The 8,663-nt window shown below is 39.2% G+C and overlaps 1 protein-coding gene across 14 annotated transcripts in view; it reads left to right on the plus strand.

Moving 5' to 3' along the window:
- MYO1B (myosin IB) overlaps positions 1-7,049 on the plus strand; it is a 179,983-nt gene extending 172,934 nt beyond the window's left edge. For all 14 annotated transcript variants that reach the window (XM_047444410.1, XM_047444412.1, XM_024452914.2 and 11 more), the window contains one exon: positions 5,500-7,049. In XM_047444410.1, the coding sequence (XP_047300366.1) occupies positions 5,500-5,623 (124 nt within the window). In that variant the 3' untranslated portion in view covers positions 5,624-7,049. The remainder of the gene's footprint in view (positions 1-5,499) is intronic.
- Positions 7,050-8,663: the final 1,614 nt, after the last annotated feature.

Here is an 8,663-nt window from a genome sequence, read left to right on the forward strand (position 1 = left end):
AGTTTAGTGACTAAGCCCTTCCTTGCTTTTTCCTTCCCAGAAGTAGAAGTAGTTACTCTAACAAACCTAGATTCTGTAATCATTATGGATAAGTGGATGTCAGTTTATGGAAAGAGAGTCAAAGTCCTGTTTACTCTTTAGTGGATTTTTTTTTTTTTTTTTTTTTTTTGAGGCAGAGTTTCGCTCTTGTTGCCAAGGCTGGAGTGCAGTGGCACGATCTTGGCTCACCGCAACCTCCGCCTCCCGGGTTCAAGGGATTATTCTGCCTCAGCCTCTTGAGTAGCTGGGATTACAGGCATGCACCACCACGCCTGGCTAATTTTGTATTTTTAGTAGAGATGGGGTTTCTCCATGTTGGTCAGGCTGGTCTCGAACTCCTGACCTCAGGTGATCCGCCCCCCTGGGCCTCTGAAAGTGCTGGGATTACAGGCGTGAGCCACCGCGCCCAGCCTGTTCAGTGGAATTTAAACTTGTACATATAGAAGTGAGAATTGAATTCATTCAGAGATTCAGCTGCCTTATAGTTTCTAGTCCTTAAACTTCTAAGCTGTTCAATGTGTAACTAGATTGCATTTTAAGGATAACCTGCAAGATGTGTAATGCAGTTATGCACCACATAATGACATTTTGGTCAGCAATGGATTGCACAGATGACGGTGGTCCCCTAAGATTGTAATGGAGCTGAAAAATTCTTCTGTCTATTGATGTCACAGGTGTTGTAATGTTATAGTGCAAGGCACTACTCACATGTTTGTGCTGCTGCTGGTGTAAACAAACCTACTTCACTGCCAGTTGTCTACAAGTAAAAGCACATACAATTATGTACAATATGTAACTCTTGATAATAAATGATGTTGTTACTGGTTTATGTATTTATTATACTATACTTTTTTTTTTTTGAGACTCAGTCTTGCACTGTTGCCCAGGCTGGAGTGCAGTGGCGTGATCTCGGCTCACTGCAAGCTCCGCCTCCTGGGTTCATGCCATTCTCCTGCCTCAGCCTCCCGAGTAGCTGGGACTACAGCTGCCCGCCACCACGCCCGGCTAATTTTTTGTACTTTTAGTAGAGGTGGGGTTTCATCGTGTTAGCCAGGATGGTCTCGATCTCCTGACCTTGTGATCTGCCCGCCTCAGCCTCCCAAAGTGCTGGGATTATAGGCGTGAGCCACCACGCCCGGCCTATACTGTACTTTTTATCTTTATTTTAGCGTGTATGCCTACATGTTAAAAAAGTTAATAGTAAAACAGCCTCGGGCAGGTCCTTAAGGGGGTATTTCAGAAGGCATTGTTATCTTAGGAGAAGACAGCCCCATGTGTATTATTACCCCTGAAGACTTTCCAGTGGGACAAGACATGGAGATAGAAGACAGTGAAATTGATGCTCCTGACCCTGTGTAGGCCTAGGCTAATATGTTTGTATCTTAGTTTTTAACAAAAAGTTTAAAAAGTAAAAATAAAAAAAATTAAAATTTTAAAAATAGAGAAAAGCTTATAGAATAAGGTTATAAAGAAAATATTTTTGTACAGCTATACAAAGTATTGTGTTTTAAGCTAAGTGTTATTACAAAAGAGCCAAAAAACAGCCGGGCCCAGTGGCTCACGCCTGTAATCTTGGCACTTTGGGAGGCCAAGGCTGGTGGATTGCTTGAGCTTAGGAGTTCAATACCAGCCTGGGCGACATGACGAAACCCCTTCTCAACAAAAAAATTAAAAAATTAGCCAGCCATGGTGACACACACCTGTAGTCCCAGCTTCTCAGGAGGCTGAGGTGGGAGAATCATCTGAGCCCGGGAAGGTCAAGGCTGCCCTGAGCCATGATTGCTCCAGTGAACTCCAGCCTGGGAGACAGACCAAGACCCTGCCTCAAAAACAAAACAAAAGTGTCAAAAATGTTTTTAAAATTGTAAAGTTTATAAAGCAAAAAGTTACAGTAAGCAAAGGTTAATTTATTATTGAAGAAAGAAAAAATTACCTATAAAGTATACCGTAATGTAATGTCCTAGGCCTTCACATTCACTAACAACTCACTCACTGACTCACCCAGAGCTACTTCCAGGCCTGCAAGCCCCATTCATGGTAAGGGCGCTAGACAAGTACACTATTTTTTATCTTTTATGCTATTCTTACTGTACCTTTTCTATTCTTACTAAGTTTACACATACAAATACCATTGTGTTACAGTTACCTACAGTACAATAACACGCTGTAGCATCTAGGTTTGGGTAAATGCACTCACTCTATGATGTTTGCACAATGACAAAATCACCTAGTGATGCATTTCTCAGAATGTATCCCTTTTATTAGATGATGCATGACTATATTTCTAAAATCAAGTTCCCAAATAGAGTAAAAACTAAAGTGAATTTGTTTCATTAAACATTTTAAATATATGTGTGTGTATATACATATAGGTATACACGTGTGTACAATAGATACACATATATCATTTAAGTTATACAATTGGTTTTCTGAATATTTGAAATCCAAACAACTAATCCATGTTCCTTTTACCTTGAAATTCTAACTGGTATGAATGCCATGAAATAATACATTCCATGTTATTGTTTGTTGGAGGAGGATTTTCTCTTTTCTATGAGGTGAAGATAAATAATAGTGCTTACCTCCTAGGATTGTCTTAAAGCCTGATCTAATAACATAGTAAATGGCCAAGCACAGTGTGGTATGTAGCAAATCCTCAATATATCTTGCCTATTGTTATTTCTAGTGTGAATCTTTTTTTTTTTTTTTTTGAGACAGAGTCTTGCTCTGTCGCCTAGGCTCGAGTGCAGTGGCGAGATCTCGGCTCACTGCAACCTCTGCCTCCTGGGTTCAAGGGATTCTCCTGCCTCAGTTCCCCGAGTAGCTGAGGTTACAGGCATGCACCACCACGCCCTGCTAATTTTTGTATTTTTAGTAAAGACGAGGTTTCACCGTCTTGGCCAGGCTGGTTCCAAACTCCTGACCTCAGGTGATCCGACCACCTCAGCTTCCCAAAGTGCTGGGATTACTGTCATGATCCACCGTGCCTGGCCTCTAGTGTGAATATTAATCAGGAATTATAGACATGGAAACAGTTAATGTAGGCCAAGGTTATTGGGGAAAGAAGTTCCTATACATTTATTACACTTACAAGTGGTCTTTTTTATTTATTTTGAGGCAGAGTCTCCCTCTGTCACCCAGGTCAGAGTCCGGTGGTGTGATCCCGGCTCAATGCAGCCTCCTCTGCCTCCTAGCTGCAAACGATTCCCCTGCCTCAGCTTCCCGAGTAGCTGGAATTACAGGCATGCACCACCGTCCCTGGCTAATTTGTGTATTTTTAGTAGAGACGTGGGTTTGCCATGTTGGCCAGGCTGGTCTCGAACTCCTGGCCTCAAGTTACCTGCCTGCCTTGGCCTCCCAAAGTGCTGGGATTACAGGCATGAGCCACTGTGCCCAGCCACAAGTGGTCTTTGAAAATAAAAATGTGAAAGTGTTTGATTTTTAAAATGTGTGAATTTTCAATAAACCTGAAAGATTTTTTTTGAGACACATACATACAAGTATATATGCCAGAGATATATCTCAGGTAGTTGAATCTGGAACTATAGCTGTCCTTTCCTCATTGCTTTCAAGTTGAAAATGAAGAACCCATTTAAAAGATCAGAAGCACTATCCTTATAAAACAACTGATGAATTAGAAACACATTTGCCTTGTTTCATTCTAGCAGATAATGTTTGCAAAATGTGGCCTCTTTAGACCTTGAAACTGAAACTAATGGATACAGAGCAGAGCTGTGGATCCTCACATCGCTGGGGGATGTCAGTAAGTGGTCAGTGGTTGTTAGGTTGACTCACTTTAGTAATGTGCCATTGACTGAGAAAACCATCCCTGAGAATATGGAAAATGTCATAATGCTATGCTAATTATGAGGGTAGAGAGAAGAGATCACTGGTTTTGGAACTGGAAGACCTGGTTTCTGGCCCAGCGATGCAGCTCTCATGTCCCCCAGTGATGCTATCCTCAGTTCAGGGATCTCATCATATACAGTTGGGGGTTCCTCGCAGCACCAGCACAGGGATGGTGTGAAGAACCCTCTGTGGATGCTCAATTGTACACCTAAAGTCATCTCTTATCCCAGCAGTGGTCCACATGATACACTGAGGGAAAAATACACTAATGGATTTTTTAATCCATGAATTAATTTCTATACACTAATGGATTTTTTAAATTTTTATAATTTTTATATAAATATTTTAATGGGTATTAAAGATATATGTGGTAGATCAAACACATGATTTTATGCATATTCTGTAGGTCACTATTATTTTGAAATACATTTAAGCTAGCAATAGCTATTAGCATACTATGCAGATAACGACAAAAACTATGTAGGACATATGTGAGTAACCAGTGTTTAGAAGCCATAGACTAGAGGGTTGCCAGGCCCCTTCCTTTTGTGAAATTCTTTACCTCATTTTCTCAATTTGTTGATAATTTAATAGGAGCCCCCTCCCATATTTTTTTTTTGCCGTGGAAAAATGGAAATATAACCTGTTGGTCTTTCCATTTGAAACACAGAAATAATTCTTAGCCTTTCTACCTTACTAGAATATGATGAGTTAATGAACTTTAGTTTTCTTAGGGCTAAATGAGGACTACTGGAGGTAAATTGCATTGATACAATTCTGTGTAAGAAGTGCTCATGGGAAGAAGTGATACAGGTTGAGTCTCCCTTATTCGAAATGCTTGGGACAAGAAGTGTTCCCAGTTTCTTGTTTTGGAATACAGTCATGTGTCATTTAACTTGGGGATGTGTACTAAGAAGTGTGTCACTAGGTGATTTTGTGCAAACATCATAGAGTGTGTACTTACACAAACGTAGATGGTATAGCCTACTACACACATAGGCTGTATATTATAGTATAGCCAACTGTTTATAGCATGTTACTGTACTGCATACTGTAGGCAATTGTAACACAATGGTAAATAGTTGTCTATCTAAACAGAAAAAGTACAGTAAAAATACAGTATAAAAGACAAAAAAATGGTACGACTGTATAGGCCAGCTCCATCATAATCTTATAGGACCCCCATCGTATATGACTGACAGTGAATTAGGTATGTTTACATCAGTCACCACAAACATGAGTAGTGTATTGCCCTACATTAGGAGAGCTATGACGTCACTAAGCCATAGGAATTTTTCCGCGCTTATGGGACCACCATCATATATGTGGTTCATTGTTCACTGAAACGTTGTTAGGTAGCCCATAGACTGTACTTGCATTATACTTAATGTTTCAGTCTTAATCTGAAATGTTCCAGCAAGCATTTCCTTTAAGCATCATGTCAGTGCTTTAAACATTTCAGAGTTTGGAGGTTTCAGATTTTCGGATTAGGTTAGGGATGCGCAGCCTGTACTCGTCAAGATCAGTATCCATTAAAATACAAAAGCAAGTGTTATTGTAATCATGAGCTGTTTTGTGTATACTTTAATTTGTTTTATTCTTTTCTCCTAGGTTCCTGGTACAGTTCAGACAGGACAAAGTATGTGTGAAGTTTATTCAGGGAAACCAGAAAAATGGGAGTGTCCCAACATGTAAACGAAAAAACAACCGTCTCCTTGAAGTTGCTGTCCCTTAACTGGCGCCTCCTCTCTACTTTCATGGACTTGTTCCTTTGTAATAGTGCAATTTGGTTTTGTTTTATTTGGGGTTCATTGTATGTTTGGGAATCACCAAAGGCTTTTAGAGTTCTTTGGCAAAATAAAAATATTTGACTAATCAATTTTTATTATTGGAATAGTTTTAACCTTTCAAATACATGTTCTGTCCTGGAGCAGGATTGTAGAAACTAACAGTGTCTATTTTCATGTCTGATGTGTTCTTCCTTTAGTCATCATGTTAGGTCTGTGTACCCTAAATCAGCATATTACTCATAAATCATTAATTAATATAAGCATAGGAAATGGTCTTAAAAGATACTGCATTCATTCATCAGATATTTATTCCATGCCTACTCTATGCTAGGCACTGTGCTAGATGGTATGAAAACTTATTAGGAACCTTTTTGTTTTTGAGACCATTGCATTCTGGCTGGTTTGTGCTGGTTTAACGACATCTAAGAAGGTTTAGAAATGGTGAGACCAAAACAATAACTGTTAATGATGGACAGCATTATTAGGAACCCTGTAGTATGATATTTAACAATATAGGCTTCAAGAAGGGCTGGTCCTAAGAGGGGGCAGAAATGAATGACCAGGTTAAATCCCTCTACATGTGGTTTCTGTTTGAAAAAAAGAAAACTGACATTTGAACAGGACTTTTAATTTGTTTAAAACTCTGGTAATTACTTGTAACAGTAGAAAATAGAAGTCATTCTTATTTTAGAAAAAGTGACAGAAGCAGTCCAGTAAGATTATATGTTTCTGTTTCTGGTAAATACCATATATGATCCTCGAAATGATAATATCTCCAGAATATTGTTTTCACCCAAATTTGAGTAGATATTTTAAACACCTAACAAAGTAAAGGGCTAAAAGCCATTCAGATAGCAGTAAAACATTCTGTATGATGTGCAATAAAACATCCAAGATCTTTTTTGAAAGTTTTATTTATAATATACATTTTTGTATGAGAAAGGTGATTGGTACAGGGTGCCTATTTTAGTCATGGATCAAAATTTGTGTAACTTGCAGGGCTTTCTTTCTTTTTCTTCAAATTTACAAGGGTTCATTTTGGAAACTACATTTTAAACTTTGGAATCAAATTGTTTCTTATTTGGGAGGATAATGTATATACATTGGTATTATGTTAAATAATAAAATTGTTCTAATTTGGTGCCATTTCCTGAATCACAACTGTATTTTTGTATCTCAAGCTATTTTCATATGTTGTGTGTCAATGTATCATCTCTCAGAAAGGTTTTACAATCCAAACATTATATGTTCTCTGTGTAACTGAATTTCACTTATCTTTTATAAACCAGAAACATTAATTGAAAATATTTTCTGGGGATTTTCTCTTGACTTGTATTTTTAAAAATTGCTCACATAAAGAAGTTCTCAGAAGTCTTTGTGTTTATTGGTGCAGGTAGAGGATGTAATTACTTAGATTCTTCTTGCCTTGTGCCTAAAGTGGTAGATTAATAGTTCCTGATACTGGTGAGTAGAAATTTGGGAATGAGAGGGTGTGGTGTTTTAAATAACATGCAGTATGTTCACATTGTTCAGCATGTAAGTAAGTGTTAAAATATATACATTACAAATTCTCCATCCTATCAACCAGCTATCTGCTTAGTTCCCACCCTCCCCGAAACATTAACCATTGTTGTTAGTTGCTTTTGTATTACTTTGTCCATATGTTTGCAAAAGGAAATCAAAATAGATTCTTACGTTCTTCTGCTTTAGTAGACAAAAGCTAGTATATTATATTGTAGCCATTGTTCTTTATCTTGCCTTTTTCACCTAGCAGAATATCATGAAGAGCTGCTCATTCTTCCGTTGTATGGATGTGCTGTGGTGGATTTACCTGGTCTCCTACTCATTATCATTGGGTTGCTTCCTAAATGGAACTTGAGGATGGAAGACTAGGATGGAAAGGAGAAATATCCCATAGGTCTACTTGTTAGATTTTTCCAAATACCTTATTTGCAGATTGTTCAATCAGTCTTGTCACTGAAGTATTCAATAATTTTTGGTCATGGAACCCATTCTTCATGGGTTGTGACTTGACGTGTTGGGAAAGATTTGCTGAACTGCAGCCAGAAAGCTTCCTTATGTACCAAGGTGAAAGCCCTTCACATTCCCCATTGGGAAGAGCAGTAATAACCTGACCACACTACAAAGGAGAGTGCCACTATGGCCCAGGTGACCCACTATAGAGCAGTGTTTCCCAAAATGTCACTGCGCATCAATCTGGTTCAAAACCACAAGGAAAGCTTGTTTTTTGTGTGTGTGTTTTTTTTAATTTTTGGTTTTGTTTTGTTTTGTTTGGAGGCAGAGTCTTGCTGCAACACCCAGGCTGGAGTGCAGTGGCACATTCTCAGCTCACTGCTACCTCCGTTTCCTGGGTTCAAGCGATTTTCCTACCTCAGCCTCCTGAGTAGCTGGGACCACAGGCATGCACCACTACGCCCAGCTAATTTGTTTATTTTTAGTAGAGACGAGGTTTGACCATATTGGCCAGGCTGGTCTCAAACTCCTGACCTCAAGTCATCTGCCTGCCTCAGCCTCCCAAAGTGCTGGGATTACAGGCGTGAGCCACCGCACCCAGCTAGAAAGCTCGTTTTTAAAAGATTACAAAAAAACAAAAACCCATGCCAGTTCCTGGGCCATACCCTATACTAACCAAATCAGAATCTCTGGAATAGAGTTTGAAAACAGACATTTTAAAGAAAATCTCCAGATGCATTCCAGCCTGGGCGACAGAGTGAGACCCTGTCTCAAAAAAGAAAAATCTCCAGATGACTCACACACATTGAAGTTTGAGAACCACCAAGGGAAATTACTAGAGCTTCTCTATAGCTACACACAGCCGTCTATGCCTTAAAAAGTCCTCCTTTGGTGACCCTCACCCAAATATGAGAACCATTAGTCTAAAGCTTCCCTCTGGCTGCACATGGCCCAGTGAGCCATACCTGCCAAATCTGCCAACCCCAGTGCCGAACTAGAGGTTACCAATAA

The sequence above is a fragment of the Homo sapiens genome, chromosome 2, assembly GCF_000001405.40.
Source record: "Homo sapiens chromosome 2, GRCh38.p14 Primary Assembly".
Lineage (NCBI taxonomy): Eukaryota > Metazoa > Chordata > Mammalia > Primates > Hominidae > Homo > Homo sapiens.